Source organism: Homo sapiens, chromosome 21 (assembly GCF_000001405.40).
Source record: "Homo sapiens chromosome 21, GRCh38.p14 Primary Assembly".
NCBI lineage: Eukaryota > Metazoa > Chordata > Mammalia > Primates > Hominidae > Homo > Homo sapiens.
Window position 1 is genome coordinate 9,969,887 of NC_000021.9, and position 17,587 is coordinate 9,987,473.

Below are 17,587 nucleotides of genomic sequence, written 5' to 3' on the forward strand. Positions count from 1 at the left end.
GAAAATTGGGCACACATGACTAACGTACTTTATTCATTTTAAATAGAAACAAATGTGTGTGCATATATATATAAAAGATACATATTTATATGTGTGTAAATATGTGTGCGTGTATGTGTGTGTGTGTGTAAAACCAATCAACTTCTGCTTAAAAACTTCTGTAAAACTCATTTTTTTTTCCAGTATGTTTCCTCTGAAGGCAATCTTCACATCTAGGGAATATTAATGGTAATAATAACAGCATTGATTTATTGAGAGTTTTCCTATGTAACAATTACTATACAAGTATGCCATTTAATCTATTTCTCTAGTTTCAATATTAATATTGGTACTTAATAAATGAGTAAACTGAAAATAATAAGTTTAAAATCTTTTTTCACAGCTAGTCAGCAATACAACTAGGATTTGATATCAGATTCATACAATTCCGAAGACCCTGACCACTAAATGCAAAAGGTACATGGCAACAGCTGATTGCAATGAGAGAAAAACAACTAATAAGGCAACAAGCAGGATACTAAGATATTTTCCAAAATGAATAGCACTGATTCTGTGAGGAATGAACATTGCCAAACAAGTGTTTTGTTTTGTTTTTCAACTCCTCTAAAAAATTCACATATATGCATGCCACTTTCCTGAAAAATATCTGCTTCATAATTGCCATAAGAAACTGTATGGACAACTCTTAAACATTCTGAAAGTAGTCAGGGATGGGGGAAAGCATTTGCTGTTTTAGTCTGTTCCTGGTCTTATAATAAATATCACAGACTGGGTAATTTATGATTATAGAAATGTATTTCTGAAAGTTCAGGAGTTGGGAAGTTCAAGATTATGGCACCAACATATTCATTGTCTGATGAGGGCCTGTTTCATAGATGTCATTTTGCATGACTTAATCATATGGTAGGAAAAGCAAAGGGACAAAATGGACAAATGCCATGTTGTCACATGGCAGAAGAAATGGAAGAGCCAGGAAGCTCTCAGAAGCTTCCTTTATTAGGATATTAATCTCATTCATGAGTGCACAGCCATTATGACTTAATTGCCTCCAAAGGCCCCACTTCCTCATCACTTTGAGGATTAAACTTAAACATGAATTTGGAGGAAATATATTCAAACTCTAGGACTAGTTTAAATGTAGCTAAAAAGGTTTCTTCATTCTGTAATCGTTAATATGCTAATATTTTTGTAAATATCCAAGAGGAAGCTAAAGCATATAATATTCCAAAATTTATTTGTTTGTGGATATTATGTTTTCCTCTCATTCAATCTCAAGAAATTAGTGTCCTCAAGAAACACTATATAGGATAATTGTCTTTCAAGTTCATCAACTACCGGTTCTTGATTCTTCAGTAGCTAATCCTAGATAGTAATACTTAACAGATTATAAAAACTTGGGTGCTGCTATATAAATGCGCTGAAACTCCCAGGGAACCAAACATAAGGACTTAAAGAGAGATGTAACTAGGGATCATAATCATGAATTTCAGCTGCTTCTCTATCTTTGTCAGTGAGCAAATGACCATACAAAATAAGGTATTCAATTATTAATTCTGTGCCCATATCCCGGAATTTTGCCCAATATATTTGTAAGTTTAGATAAATAAGGCACTAATGCCAGGGATATGTAGCATTAGTTCTGGGTTTATAAAGGGATATTCACAACCTCTTGCCATCCACAGAATTTATCAGCCCAAAGTAAACTATACTCGTTTGTTAAGGGCAACCTGAAACATGTTTAAAACTGAGGTAGACTGAAGAGTCAACTAATTGCAGGAATCTTTTGTTATTTGGTTGAAATGTTCAAACAAGTCCCACTCTGAATTCTATTAGAAGTCCATCATTGGCTTCTCTCTCTTTCTCACTGTCTTAAATCATGTATTTTATAACACTATGAAGAATGAAGTTCAAAAGAATAAGCTAAATTTAATTAATTAAATTATTTATTTATTTATTTTGGGACAGAGTCTCACTCTGTCACCCAGGCCAGAGTTCAGTTGCACGATCCTGGCTCACCGCATCCTTCACCTCCTGGGCTCGAGATCCTCCTGAAGCAGGGCATTTCCCTGACCCCTTCATGGGACTCGTGACAGGGGTGCCCCATTTACTCAGCCCACTGCTCTCAACTCCTCAAGGGAGGGAGTGTGTAATTGAATAAGGCAGGAACTGGAGTACATGAGTGCTGGAACCAGTGGCCTCTTTGGTGCCAGAAGGAGTGAACTCACCCACTCTGACCTGCTGTGTTCCACCTCTTGCAGGAGAGAGCATGCAGGTGAGCAGGTATAGGAGCCAGGAAGAGAGCTCTGGGGTGTTGGCAGGAGCAAACTCCATGTGGGCCTCATAGCAGCCCCTGGTGTTAGGGGGGGTGCCTGTGATTCCTGAAGCCCCAGTGGGCATATTACAGTGCTCCTTTAGCTCTGCCATCTTCAGACAGCTGAAGTGTTAGCAGCTCAGCATGCCTTTTTGTATCCACACTCACTCCTGAGCTCTTGTTTGGCATCCAGGAAAAATCAGCTCACAGAAACGAATTGAAGGATGGTAAATGCAGAGGATTTTATTGCCAAGGAAAGTGGCTCTCAGCAGGAAGGGCAGCTGGGAAGGACATGTAGCAGGAAGGTTTCTGGCTGGACTCTTCTCCAAAGTTGCACTGTCAAACTGTCTCTCTGAAATCAAGCTGCTTCTCTCCAACGTCCAACCATAGTCTCTGATGCCTAGCTGCTGCTTCTCTTTTGATGTTCAGCTGCTTCTCTTTTTTGCTAGCTGAGTCTGGGGTTTTTATGGGCACAGGATGGGGAACAGGGGAGGTCATGGGTAATTTTGTAAAAGGCAACATTTGAGTGGGAAAACAGGAACGTATGTTCTCACTTTGGGCTTTGGTTCCAGGCTTGAGGGTGGAGCCCTTGCCAGGGACCTGCCCTCTTTTGCCCAGAATTTCCCTGCCTCCCTTCCCTATCACTCCCACCCCATCACTCCCACCTCAACATCCTGAGTAGCTGGGATTATAGGCGCACACCACCACATCTGATTAATATTTAAATTTTTTGTAGAGACAGGGTTTTGTCATGTTGCCCAGGCTGGTCTCAAACCCTGGGCTCAAGTGATTTGCCCACCTCAGCCTCCCAAAGTTCTGGGATTACAGATGTGAGCCAGTGTGCCTGGCCCTAAATAATATTTATATGGGCATTTTGTAATTATTATTTTTTAATAATATAAATGTTTCCTTTTTAATATGAATTTTTCAAGAGTTTTAAAATTGACTGATTATTCATTAAAATTTAATGAAGGACAGGAATTGGCTATTTTTCTGAATGACAAAAATTAGGAAATTTTTAGAGAGATGATGAATTTATCCTAGAATATATGGAAAGAGTAAATCTTGTTATATAGAAAAAGCTACTTTCCAATCCGAAGGATCTTAGAATAATAAATTTTTTTTTTCTAGTTTCCTTATAATTGTTTCAAAGTAATACTTTAGACCAAAAATTGTATATCTCAGTAGGTGGCCTATATGATAATTAAAAAATTAAAAGCTAAGTTAATTAAATTTTTAATTATTTTAATTTTTATTAATTTTAATTATCAATCTTCATTGAAGAATTTTGTCCAAAAAATGTGGACAATATGTGTCATAAGGATTAATCAGCATAAAATAGTCCCCAAAGGAAATTAAAGGACCGATTAGATAGTACTAAAATAACAATCATACAAAGTAGAAAGTGGTGTTATAAGAGAAATGTAGATAAAATATTGTAAGAAACTAAAGCAGGAAGATAATGGTTTGAGTTGTGGGAGATCAGGGAAGATTTTTTGGAAAAAGTAACGTTTAAGCTAGATCTTAGAGAGACATGACTTAATAGAAAAGTAGGCAAAAAAATATGAATAACCCTTTCAGATTACAGGCAATACAAATTATGATAAATATAAAAAAATTCTTACTTTACTAGTAATCAAGTAATTGAATTAAACAATTGGATACCAATTTTTCTTCAGCAGACTGGCAAAACATAAGATGTTAACAAGGGTTTTGAGGGTACAGGGAAGAGGGTAGGCTCAAACTATGCTGGTATCAATGTATAACCAAGATCTCCTTTGGAATACAATTGTTATATAGTCTACATTCTGTAAAAACTAAACACATATGTTTGCCTTTCCACTTTTGGAAATACATGGTAGATAATCATGCAAGAATGTCAATTGCAGTATTGTGTTGTAATTTTTAAAAATACTCAAAATATTTATCAATATATAACTACAAATAAAAATAGTTGGACTATCATGCAGACTACAATGCCTCTATTGTGGCATAATAGTTAATAATACAATCTCTGAGAGCAGAATATCTGGATTTGAATAATTTGCTCTCCCTCTAAATGACCTTGAGCAAAGTACTTACAATCTTTTTCTCTCTTCTGTAAAATGGAGATAACAGCATTGCCAATTTATTAGCTTGTCATGATGATTAAATGAGATAATCCATATATCACACCAAGTACCCACTACATAATAAGCAACTAATTAAATTTGACTAATATTAATAATTTCATTATTATTCATCTTAATATCATGGCATGACTTCTAAGGTATATTATTAAATAGAAAAAGAGAAGTTTTAAACTGAGCCATAGTTTAGAACTTGACTTAAAGCAGACTCACAAAGCAAATGCTCATATCTAGGACAGGTAAATCTACACGTGTTTATACACACATTCACTGTGTTTGGGGAAAATACACACCAAACTGGAAACACTGGTTGTCTCTGAAGAAGAGACAGGGCTTTGGCAATATTCAAATTAGGCTTTAACTGTTTCTGAAAGTTTCAGTTCTCTATAAGGAGAAGGTATTACTTATGTAATTTTTAAAAATTACATATTAAGTACTAAATGACTGAAGCTTCTTAGAATTGATGGGGGCAGGCATCACATGGGCAGCAAGGCATTCACATAATGGAGAATCATGGTCTCCTGTAGATGTCTAGGAGTGATAAAATTAACTACCTTTTAGGTGGTGTAGTTTCCTGGTTGAGCTGATAATTATTAAGTTAATGATTAGTAGGTTATTTCTCAACACTGAAGAGATTATTAGTGTTTCAAAGTTTTCACTGTAATTCATCTGTAAAACCATTCAACCTACCTCCAGTACACCTCAGTAATCTGGTGACAAGAGAGTATTCTTGCACACTTTATTTCCTCTTCAGTGATCTAATGCCAATAATGCCAGCCTATAGAAACAACAGCCAATTATAACAAAAAGCACATTAAAAAGTCAAATATAGCTGAGTAATAGACATAAAAATACCTTATTAACATTTTTGTAACACTCTCAACTGAAATAAACAGACCACTCTCGATTTTAGCATCTGGTTCCAAACAATTCTTGTTTGGGTGATAACTTTTTAAAAACAAATGCTGGGCATCTTTCATCGACTTTTCATCAAGTAACAGCTGTTCCTTTAGAACAAAATGTATGCATGTTGGAAGGGTGACTGATGCTCACTTCTGTTTTGTTCTGTGTGAGAAAGCTTTATGTTGGGTGCAATTCAGAAAACAAATGGTTTCAAATCTTTTGAATAGATGCCATAGCACAGTTTAAATGCAGCTTCTTGTGATTTTTAGAATAATTTCAGCCACAATTTTTACATTCAATTTATAACTATACTAAGACATTCTCCTTCAGAACAAAGGCATTTCTGTTTTCATGTGCTCTTGGGCATCTTCGGGTCATTCATTATATCAATCATTTATCTTCGTAAAGTGTTTGGCTATGAACAATTACTTACTACACCAAAACATGAAAGAAATAGATATAGCTCATCTGCTCTTGAATGCATTTCTACAGATTCCCTTAGGATAATTCCTGTTTCAACTTAAGCTATTAAATTTTTTGCTGAATTCAAATCACCTAATCTGCTGAAACATGTGGAGACAAATAACCACAGACGTTTGCATGAAGGTTCAGGTGTATTTAAGGGCAGCTTAATTATAAGACACTATGAAATTCTCCTAATTAATTTGGAGCTAAATATTCTACATCAAATATTTTACAAAACTTAAAGAAATATTTACTTTTCACATGATTACGATTTTGATACTAGGTTAAAAATGACTTATATTGGCATTTTTTAAACAGTTTAAGACAAATAATGTTTTTGATACTGTTTATTATAACATATGAAAAGTCTTTATATTTATGCAAATATACTCTATTTTATTGTCTGTTCATTTCATGTTGCATTTGCATGCACTCCTGAATTACTTGTTACTAAAACATACAGAACAGACAGAAAGTTAAAATTGGTTAATTTCTATCTAATCTGGATAAGATAAACACAATGAGTGAAATAAATCATTATGTCAAATAACAAAAACCTCATGCATAGAAACTTCAACATTTCTGAATAACAAAAAGTATAACATTATGTAGGGCAAGGTGCCACTTTTGTATCAACTAGAAATAAGCCCTGAATCTGAATGATGAAATTTTAATAGTAACTGTTGACCGCAGGGCAGAGTTTACTCTCTTGGTCAGATGCTTTTGTGAATGACACAGTGTGTCCAGATCACTTTTCCCTATAATCACTTCAAATTACTTGACTTTTTGATCTGTTCCTTTTTTCTGTCTCTTTTTTGTCCACAACAGATATTCCAAATATCCACCGAGTTTTCAAATACTCCAGTCCATAATTGGTCTTCCCATTCCTAGCAGAAGTACTTTGTCTTCTACTTCCCAGAATAATGTTAATTCTCTTATTTTAGACTTGCTTGCTTTAATTTGTATTTGTTCTTGGCTTTTTTTCTTTCCATCTCACAGGATAAGAGGGCATCTCTTCTTCCATATTCATAAATACGTTGCCAACAGGAATTTGTTGTTATTTACACTTTCTTCTCCTAGACATTTTAATTTTACTTACCTTCCCTGAGCACATGGCAAAGTCAAAACACAAGCAGAATCTTACTTATGAATAGAGGCAGATTTATTAAGCCAGGGGTAGGCAAACTATAGCCAATAAGCCAAAGCCAGGCTGCCACGGGTTTTTATAAATAAAATTTTATAGGAACTCAGCCACAGACATTCCTTTACATATTGCCTACAGCTGCTTAAGCACTACAAAGGCAAAGTTGCATATTTACAACACAAATCATATGGCCTGCAAGCCTAAAGTATCTACTATCGTGCCCTTTATAGAAAATGTTTATCAGCTTTTGTTCTCTTATCCTAAGTTATGAGGCTTACATTTCTGGCCACCTCATTTGCATTTGAGTTTCCAGTTTTGAGTTTGTTGTTTTGTATTCTTGCTTAAAGAGCCCCAAACCCTGACCTCCAAATTGAATGTGCTGTAGATCCCACAAAATATGGATCCAATCAAGCTGATGCCATGTCATTATCTGTAGCTTTTATTCTTTGCCATCACACACCTTCCTTGAACAGTTAGGCTTCTGCAAAAAATCTTAAATAATCACTGATATGGGTTGGTTCTGTGTCTTCACCCAAATCTCATCTTGTAGCTCCCATAATTTCCACGTGTTATGGGAAGGATCCAGTGGGAGATGACTGAATCATGAGGGCACGTATGTCCCATGCTGTTCCTGTGATAGTGAATGGATCTCAGGAGATCTGATGGTGTTAAAAATGGGAGTTTCTCCACACAATCTCTTTTTTGCCTGCTGCCATCCATGTAAGATGTAGCTTACTCCTTCTTGCCTTCCACCATGATTATGATGCCTCTCCAGCCATGTGGAACTGTAAGTCCAACAAACCACTTTCTTTCGTAAATTGCCCAGTTGCAGGTATGTTTTTATCAGCAGCATGAAAATGAACTAATACAGTAAATTGTTACCAGTAGAGTGGGGTGCTGGTGGAAACATATCCAAAAATATGGAAGCGACATTGGAACTGGGTAACAAGCAGAGGTTGGAACAGTTTGGAGGACTCAGAAGAAGACAGGAAAATGTGGCCAAGTTTGGAACTTCCTAGAGACTTGCTGAATGGCTTTGAACAAAATGCTGACAGTGATATGGACAATGAAATCCAGGCTGAAGTGGTCTCAGCTGGTGATAAGGAACTTGTTGGGAACCGGAGTAAAGGTGAATCTTGCTATGTTTTACCAAAGACACTGGTGGCATTTTGCCCAGCCCTATAGATTTGTAGAACTTTGAACTTGAGAGAGATGATTTAGGGTATCTGGCAGAAGAAATTTCTAAGCAGGAAAGCACTTAAAATGTGAATTCGGTGCTGTTGAAGGCATTCAGTTTTATAAGGGAAGCAGAGCATAAAAACTTGGAAAATTTGCAGCCTGACAATGCAATAGAAAAGAAAATCCCATTTTCTGAGGAGAAATCCAAGCCAGCTACGGACATTTGCATAACATAACGGGGAAAATGTCTCCAGGACATGTCAAAGGTCTTTACCTCAGCCTCTCCCATCACAGGCACAGAGACCTAGGAGGAAGAAGTGGTTTTGTGGGCTGGGCCCAGGGTTCCTTTGCTGTGTGCAGCCTAGGGACTTCATCCCCTGCATCACAGCAACTCTAGCTATGGCTGAAAGGGGACAACATAGAGCTCAGGCTATGGCTTCAGAGGGTGCAAGCCCCAAGCTTTGGCATCTTCCATTTGGTGTTGATCCTACGAGTGCACAGAAGTCAAAAATTGAGGTTTGGGAACCTCTGCCTAGATTTCAGAAGATGTATGGAAACGCCTGAATGCCGAGGCAGGAGTTTGCCATATGGGTGGGGTCCTCATGGAGAACCTCTGCTAGGGCAGTGCAGAAGGAAAATGTGGGGAGGGAGCCCCCACACAGAATCCCTACTGGGGCACCACCTAGTGGAGCTGTGAGAAGAGGGCCACCGTCTTCCAGACCCCAGAAGTGTAGATCCTCTGACAGCTTGCACCGTGTGCATGGAAAAGCTGCAGACACTTAACACCAGCCCATGAAGACAGCCAGGAGGGAGACTGTACCCTGCAGAGCCAGAGGGGTGGAACTGCCCAAGACCATGGGTATCCACCTCTTGCATCAGCGTGACCTAGATGTGAGACATGGAGTCAAAGGAGCTTTAGATTTGACTGCCCTTCTGGATTTCAGAATTGCATGGGGCTTGTAGCCTCTTTGTTTTGGCCAATTTCTCCCATTTGCAATGGGTGCATTTACCCAATCCCCTTACCCCTGTAACCCCATTGTATCTAGGAAGTAACTAACTTGGTTTTGATTTTACAGGGTCATAGGTGGAAGGGACTTGCCTTGTCTCAGATGAAACTTTGGACTGTGGACTTTTGAGTTAATGCTAAAAAGAGTTGACATTTTGGGGGACTGTTGGGAAGGCATGACTGGTTTTGAAACATGCAGATATGAGATTTGGGAGGGGCTGGAGTGAAATGATATGGTTTGGCTCTGTGTCCCCATCCAAATCTCATCTTGTAGCTCCCATAATTTCTATATGTAGTGGGAGGGACCTGATGGGAGAAGACTGAATCATGGGGGCAGGTCTTTCCCATGCTGTTCTCATAATAGTGAATGGGTCTCACAAGATCTAGTGGTGTTAAAAACAGGATTTTCTCTGCACAAGCTCTTTTTTTGCCTGCTGCCACCCACATAAGATGTGTCTTGCTCCTTTTTGCCATGATTGTGAGTCCTCCCCAGCCATGTGGAACTGTATGTCCAATAAACCTTTTTCTTTTGTAAGTTGTCCAGTCGTGGGTATGTCTTTATCAGCAGTGTTAAAATGGACTAATACAATCACTCTATCAAATGAGATAATATTTATTCCTTTACCACTGACAACTCTCTCTCTTGGCTCTTCTATTCAATCATGTTACTGATAGACGCTTTGCTTTTTGTTTTTGTTGTTTAACCTGATTGTTATAGGTTATTTTATGAATTTCTGTTCTTCTTTTAATTTTACAACAATTTTACTATTTCTCCTTACATGTTTATAAGTCATATGGAGACTACTTCTCATCTACCCTTACCCCAGAATATTAAAACTTTTCAGAGTTTCAGGATTAATTCCATTATATGGACATGATTCCTTGAGATAGGAAAAACTGATTGGATTGTGACATTAGACTTATCAGAATCTAAGATCTTACAAAATATAAAGCTTTACTAGTAATCTCATGAACTCAGTTAATCATTAGGCATGGGCAAATCAGAGAATTATTTAGATCTCTTAATCTGATTCTTTAGATCCTTGGTTCTGTCATTAGATACTCCCTTGCCCAGGCAGATAGATGAGACTTCTAGAGAGGTATGCCGACAATTTATTTACATGGAGATACCTGTCTCAATTATCAAATATCTTCATTTTTATGCAGATAGTTACATATGTGGTATATGTGACATTTTCCAGGGAGCCCCATAAATCCACAACCTTCTACTTTGTTAACCATAAGCAATTCTAAACGACCAAGTACATTCTGCTAAAAGCGTTTCTGTGATAGATAATCACTCTCCTGCTAGCAAAAAAACAAATTGTTTGTCAGGAGCTGTCATTAGTATGTTTATATAAGCAAAATGGGCTTCCTTCCTTCTGTGGATCCTGGCAGGGCATCTCAGTAATCAGAAAGAATCAAAGACCCTTTCCTTCCCAATCTGCTCTGGCCTTGGTCAACATCTTAGTGCCAAATATTGCTGGTGTATTATCATTATTGGCTTACACCATTTTCTGCAGTGTTTCACTTAAGCCAACTAATACTCTGACCTTGATTTGAACCATCCAACAGAGAGTAGGAATTCCCTCCACAAAGCAATGTTACTCATTAACATCTTCCTTTACAAGTCTCTTGATGTTCATTCACAGACTCAATTACCTTTTTCCTCCATCAACCTCAATTATTTGCATCATTTTCCACTGGCCTATGGGAGTATTTAATTGAATACATATTTTTTCTCAAATCAAATTTTCTGAAAAAAATTTGTTTCTATGAACTGTATTTTAGGTATATTCCAGGTTGGTACAAACACTAATTTTCAGGGGTCATTATGTCAAAGAGCCCATCCACACCCCATGGCCTACATATGTCAAAGGATTGTTCTTTATTCATCCACTTTCTATGAATTCCACACACGGGAGATAAACTTCTTTTTCATCCATATTACCAGGGTTGTCAGGGAGCAACATTAAAGGTCACAGTGTTCGGTGAAACCTTGCCATAACTTAGACTAAACACGTTTCTCCCATAATTTTACTTCTTCAAATTCTTTCTTTTTCTTTCTTTCTTTCTTTCTTTCTTTTTCTTTCTTTCTTTCTTTCTTTCTTTCTTTCTTTCTTTCTTTTTCTTTCTTTCTTTCTTTCTTTCTTTCTTTCTTTCTTTCTTTCCTTCCTTCCTTCGTTCTTTCTTTCTTTCTTTCTTTCTTTCTTTCTTTCTTTCTTTCTCTTTCTTTCTTTCTCCTTTTCTTTCTCTCTCTCTCTTTCTCTTTCTTTCTTTTTCTTTCTTTTTTTTTTTTTGACAGGGTTTCACTCTTGTCACCTGCCTGGAGTGCAGTGGCACAATCTTGGCTCACTGCAACCTTCACCTCCCAGGTTCAAGCAATTCTCCTGCCTTAGCTTCCTGAGTAGCTGGGATTAAAAGCACCTGCCACCATGCCTGGCTAATTTTTGTATTTTTAGTAGAGACGGGGTTTCGCCATGTTGACCAGGCTTGTCTTGAACTCCTGACCTCAGGTGATCCACACTCCTCAGCCTCCCTAAATGCTGGGATTTTACAAGTGTGAGCCACTGAGCCCGACGTTGAGCTTGTTTCTTTATGAATTCCTGCAACTCAACATTAAAGACATAATATCCCATAGTGATTAATATATCCAATAGTCCTTCCTGACTAAAGGTACAAAGTTAATCCTAGTGTTGTTAATAAGCATGGAAGTCATTATTTATTCAGTGTCTTCGGTTCAAGCATTGTCTTAAACCAAACTGATTTCCTACTGCAACTGAGTCCTCTAAAAACAGCTTCCTCTAGTGTCCCTATTTGAAGTAGCAAGTCATTTTTATCTTAATGATGGGCCTCCTAGAACACTACTTCAATTAGATTTAATATCACATGACCAAATCCTGTAATTCTTTCAAAATGCCTGGCAAAGGGGCCAGTGCTGCTTAACTTGCCACTCATGTAGTTCATATTATGTGCTAATTAAATGTGTCTAGTTTGAAAGCATTGTCTACACCTACAAATAATGTGCTTCATGAAATTCTCTGTTAGGTATATCCTAGCACCAGATACCGTTTTATCTGGCTGTGCCATAGGCTTCCCTTAAATGTCCTCTACGTACCTCTTGAGGGAGTTATTTATAATTTTAAAGCATTAAAGCAAACATAAAATCACATTCTCTGAGGCTTTCTAGGTTCTAGTTTTATATTATTTAAATTAATTCCATTTACATTCACACTGATATGTTCAAAGCAACAGACCAGATCAAGCTGTGACATACCAGACAGGCAGCCACTATCTGCTTTCTATCATGACCAGGGAGCTGTCTTAGCAATGTATCATTTTGATTTATGGCCATATAGGGTGCAGAAATTCTATTCTACAGCATCCTCTGCTCTGTACAATTCATTGGTAGTTTCTCTGGAAAAAAATAATCTAGAATGGTAAACAAAGCCTAGAAACTGAGTGATAACTGTAGTCAACTACACACAAGCTGAGTTGTCAGGGGGCACTTTGTCATTTGTTTTATTCAGATTATACAGTTAGAACATCCAAATCAGTAGGAGTCCAATTTTCCTTTTCTGCAGTAAGCAGGCCAAGAGATTTTCACCAACAAAGCCCATTTGTTTGGATGACAATAGCAAAAGATAGTTAAGTATGATATCCTCACTCTGAGCTGTTTGCGTGAAAATATTGTAGTGGCTTCCCTCCACGGTAATGTAATCTACTTATAAACACCTTTCCCATCTTCTATGATTTTACCCTATTTCCAAACGCTTCCTCCCAATATCAGGCTGTATAACTCATCATGCATAATGTTTGCCCACACAATCAATAACAAGAACCTTACTAGCACACCCAAACAAATGTTTGGGTTTTATTTGTTTGTTTGTTTAACTTTTATTTTAAGTTCATGGTTACATGTGCAGATTTGTTACACAGGTAAACTTGTGTCATGAGGTTTGTTGTCAAACAAATGTTATAAGTGATAGACAAAGGACCTCAGAAGTCTCTCCTCTGTTGATAATGGAGCTACCTTCACCTTTAGCCCTAATTGGTTACATAGGAAGGAACTTTTGATCCACCACAAATTACCTTTCAGAAAAGGCACAGTCAAATTAAATGACACAAATATCATGTCTTGGGTATTGTATAATCTTCCTCTGGTGCAAGTAAATTTAAAACTGGGTTTGACACCACCATTAGAGGCCAAATAAAAGTATTAGAGGTGGGAAAGATATAAAGTTATATATTATTGCATTCTCCTTCACTCCCTCATTACTACCTCTTGATATTAGTAAGGCACAGTGGATTTTGTGATTTATTTCTCATATTAGTCTCAGGACGCAATGGTTTCACTAAAGGAACCCTTAATAATTTTTGAGCAAGGGGCCTTGCTTTTCATTTTTCACTGGGTTACAGAAGTTATGTAGCTGGTCCTTCCTGTTGACATTGGCTGTGTCATTCAGTACAACAGCATGTGTCTTTCAAATGGATTATAGCAAACAGCTGCCACAGGCATATTTTGAGTCAAAATCCTGAGGAGTCTAAATTGGTGGTCCCATTTAACTCTTCCTAAAGGGCTCTAGTTTGGATATGCCCCAATATCATCTGACCAGTTGGATGGGATCATAAGGGCCTAATGTTATTGCCTGTGCTACCACCTACCACAATACTTTTCATGCTTATTTCTATTCAGTACCTGCAGTGAGTTAAATGGTGCTCTTCTGAAATTATTATTCATTCAGAATCTCAGAAGGTGACCTTCTTTAGAAATTTGCACATATAATTTGTTAAGATGAGCTCCTACTAGATTAAGGAGGGTCCTAATTCCAATGACTGGAGGTGTTTTTATAAGAAGAGAGGACACATGGAGAAGAAATTGAAAACGAAAGCAGAAATTGGAGTAATAAATCTATAAGTAATAAAGCTCCAAAAATGTGTAGGAGAGAGTAGAACCTAGGCAGGGGCAAGAAAAGATTTTTTTCTGTGGCTTTTCAAGGAAGCTTGACCCTATTGACTCCTTGGCTTCAGACTTCTAGCCTCCAGAACTGTGAAATAATAAATTTCAGTTGTTTTAAGCTACCCAGTTTGTGGTAATTTGTTCCAGCAGCCCTAGGAAAGTACTACAATGCTGTATTCACGTTCTGAACTCTTTCCAGTTATTTTGTGAGTATGGGTAGACAAGATTCTTAGAACAGTCTTGACAGTCTCTGAGTTTATTGCTTATTGGTGGGTCCTATGAAAGATAAATTACTTCTCACAGTTTAAGGAATGTCCTAAGTTGATCTGCACTAATTTACAGGATTTAGTTGCAGTTTAAGGAACATCCTAAGTTGATTTGTACTAATTTCCAGGAATTAATTTGCACCTTGGGCTGTGCCTTAAATTCTAGCTGGATTTATCACCCAGCTTCTATTTGTAATATGGGTGACTATGGTCCTTAAATCCTCTCCTAATTTTTGCTCTGAGAAGAAAATTATCATCATACCATGAAAGTAGTAGATGAACTCTATCTTTTAGGTTATTCTTTACCAGATTATGGAAATGTGATAATGAATTTTTTTTAATCCATGATAAGACAGTAAACATGTACTTGTTTCTATTCTGCAAAGCTTAAAATTTTCCTACTTGAAATTAAAAAAAAAAAATCTTAGGAGGCCCCTGAGATTGGTTTAATGCTCTGTTGTAGCTATCTCGAAATTCTTAATAATTTTTGAGTAAGTATCCATGCATTTTCATTTTATACTCAGCTCTATGAATTATGTAGTTAATCTTGATAGCATATCAGAGCCTCTTGTCTACTTTATTTTCTGTACATTCTTCATCATATCAGGTAGAGATGAAGCATGCAAATGAACCACCTTGATACTCTACTGTAAATGTCCAGGGGCTACCTACTTATTGACCAGTTAGAACTACAAAAGGGAAGTTAATGTGGGGAGGGGAACTTCCTTCTAAACCATTTTCTTAATTACAACAGTAGTCTCTTATTGTGCCCTTGGAATTCTGCATTGCTTAATATTTACTACTGTGGAGAGCTTGAGCAATTCCAAAGGATTCCATTTGGCATGGCTAATTAAAATTTGGTGAAGAGTGAGCTCAGTCTTCATCCTCTGTGGAAACACAAAGACGACAATGTCCCATTCATATTGAATGACAATTGCAATTTTGTATTTATGTGAAGGTAGCACAAGCAGGTAATATTCTCTCCAACCACACATTTCAACCTGTAACGTCATCTTTACCTTGGTTTCCTCCCTGATGTTCTCTTCATGCACTCCAGATTTCACTTAGAGCATGTATGAGACTCTTTCCTACCTTCCATAAGGCCTACTGTAAATTCTGCTCTGCATCCTACCAATGATAAGAAACTTTGAATACCACCCCAGGTAACTTTGTTCAAATTATTACATATATGGCCTCAGATCCATGACTGGGGCTGGAATGAACAGACCTCAGTTCTTTATTTAATTGTTTTCAGATTCTATGGCTTTAATTAAGGCAGTAAACTCAGCCCCCTGTTCAAGTATATTCTGTTCTATATCATATCCTCATAATTGGATTTGAACTCTTTCAGCCACAATAAATAAAGCAAATTTTCTATGATTCTTTAAGGGATTGGTGGGGGCTACAGTACTCCTCTGATTCAAAAGTTGATAATGTGCTTTTACTTTCTTATTAAAAATTCTATCAAGGCTTACTTTTTAAATGCTATTTATATTTTCTTCAAAAGTAAATTAATTCATGTGAGCTGCCTTTCTATTTTCTCTTCTGATTTTTAATTTCTCCCTGTTGTGCACATGATATAAATGCTTTTTCTCCATATAATCCCATGTATAGTAACTAAACCTGTATGTTTGTTACTGTTCTCTGAATATATATATTTGGCCCTCAAGGTTATATAAGTCTTGTAAGACAGAGAATCATTAGCTTATCCCATTCACTCTATCTCTTATTATTTGTATCAATAGCATTAACTAAGGTGTTTTCTCTCTGGAAAATATAAAGCCTGTCAACCTTTACACTTGTATCATTCCTATCATGTGAAAAGGAGAATCCAATTGGCAATTTGGAGAGGAGTAGTAGCAGTTACCCTTCTCAGTATAGGACTGACAAATCTCACCTTAACAACTGCAGCCGATATGCTGTCACAGTATTTGGAAGTGTTTTCTCAAAAGTTTACAGCCATTTAATGATTAGTCATGACCATGAATAGTCCTTTGCATCAGATAATAATAGAATTGCAACATGTCCTCCATCATTAATTTGAAGAATCCATGCCAATGTTAATTCACCAGTCTTCTGTTAGTGAATATTCTGTTCTTTAATAAAATATAGTTTTCACTCATCACCTGTCCTTGGACTCTGGTTACATAAATAGTTTGTCCTATAATCAATATTTTGAGTCATTTCAAAAGATACAAGAAATTTCTCCAAGAAACCAGGGAGGGATAAGAAGGTTTTCCAGTGAATAAAATGTAATCTCGCAGCTTTTTCTCCCACTATCATCTCCTCCTATTAAAAACTAACCTATTAAAAGGTTAGCTTTTACAGGTATGCTAGCAGGAGTCAGTCAATGGGATTTGCACCCAATTTCCCTTTGTCCATGTACTCCCTAGACCCGTACTCCCAGACTGTAGTCTATGGCCCCCAGATTTCAATGGTAAGACTTATTTCCCTTAACCTGCCTCAAAGATTCCACTACCTCATACCAAAAATGTACAGCCAACTATCCTGAGAACAAATTCTCATATTTTTCCATTATTTCCTTTTGAAAAGGAGCCCAGGTAGAAAAAGAAAACATTCACTATTTTGGTGTGTGGGTCTAAAAGACAATCCTGCTCTCAGTGCCAATCTGAACCCACAAAAAGCATTGAATTGTCAAATCAGACTCAGATTGAAGATTTTGCTCAGTATCATGCTTTTTGAATAATTTCAAAGATAAAATAATCATGTATGGGTTAAGTGGGGAGAGACCTGGGTCCTTTCATCTTCATTGAATGTGGTCTCATCCAAGTTTCTAGATTTGGTTTCTAAGTAAAATGTACAGTTGCTTTACTTACTCAAGTGTATTCTCAGTTACAAACCATCTCCTTTTATACTTAGACAGCAACACAGCTAACGTGACATTTTCTTGGGAATCATCACCCTACATTTATTGATTCCTGGCTTATTTTTCATAAGCAATTTTAGACAACTCCGCATGGTCTGCTAGAAACATTTTATGAAGAATGATTCTTTGGCCACCAAAAACTATTTAGTTTATTTTCTAAGAGACTTGCATTAATATGTTTGCAGAAAAATTAAACCAGAACACCTGACTTCTTTATTTCCCAGGAGTTTTCCTCCACACCTGCCCCCATCAGGGGAGAAAATTGATCAGGAGGTACCACCCCTTTCCACACCATTCTTGAATCTATTCTACAGAACTCTCTCACATGGTCTAGCAA

At 37.1% G+C, this 17,587-nt stretch overlaps 1 long non-coding RNA gene across 1 annotated transcript; it reads right to left on the reverse strand.

Annotated features, from left to right (window-relative positions):
- Positions 1-2,587: 2,587 nt before the first annotated feature.
- LOC105372734 (uncharacterized) lies at positions 2,588-16,447 on the reverse strand. Its single transcript, XR_951175.2, has 3 exons — positions 16,261-16,447; positions 5,131-5,218; positions 2,588-2,766 (listed from the first exon to the last, which is right to left on the reverse strand). It is a non-coding gene; the product is annotated as an uncharacterized LOC105372734 (long non-coding RNA).
- Between the last annotated feature and the right edge of the window lie 1,140 nt (positions 16,448-17,587).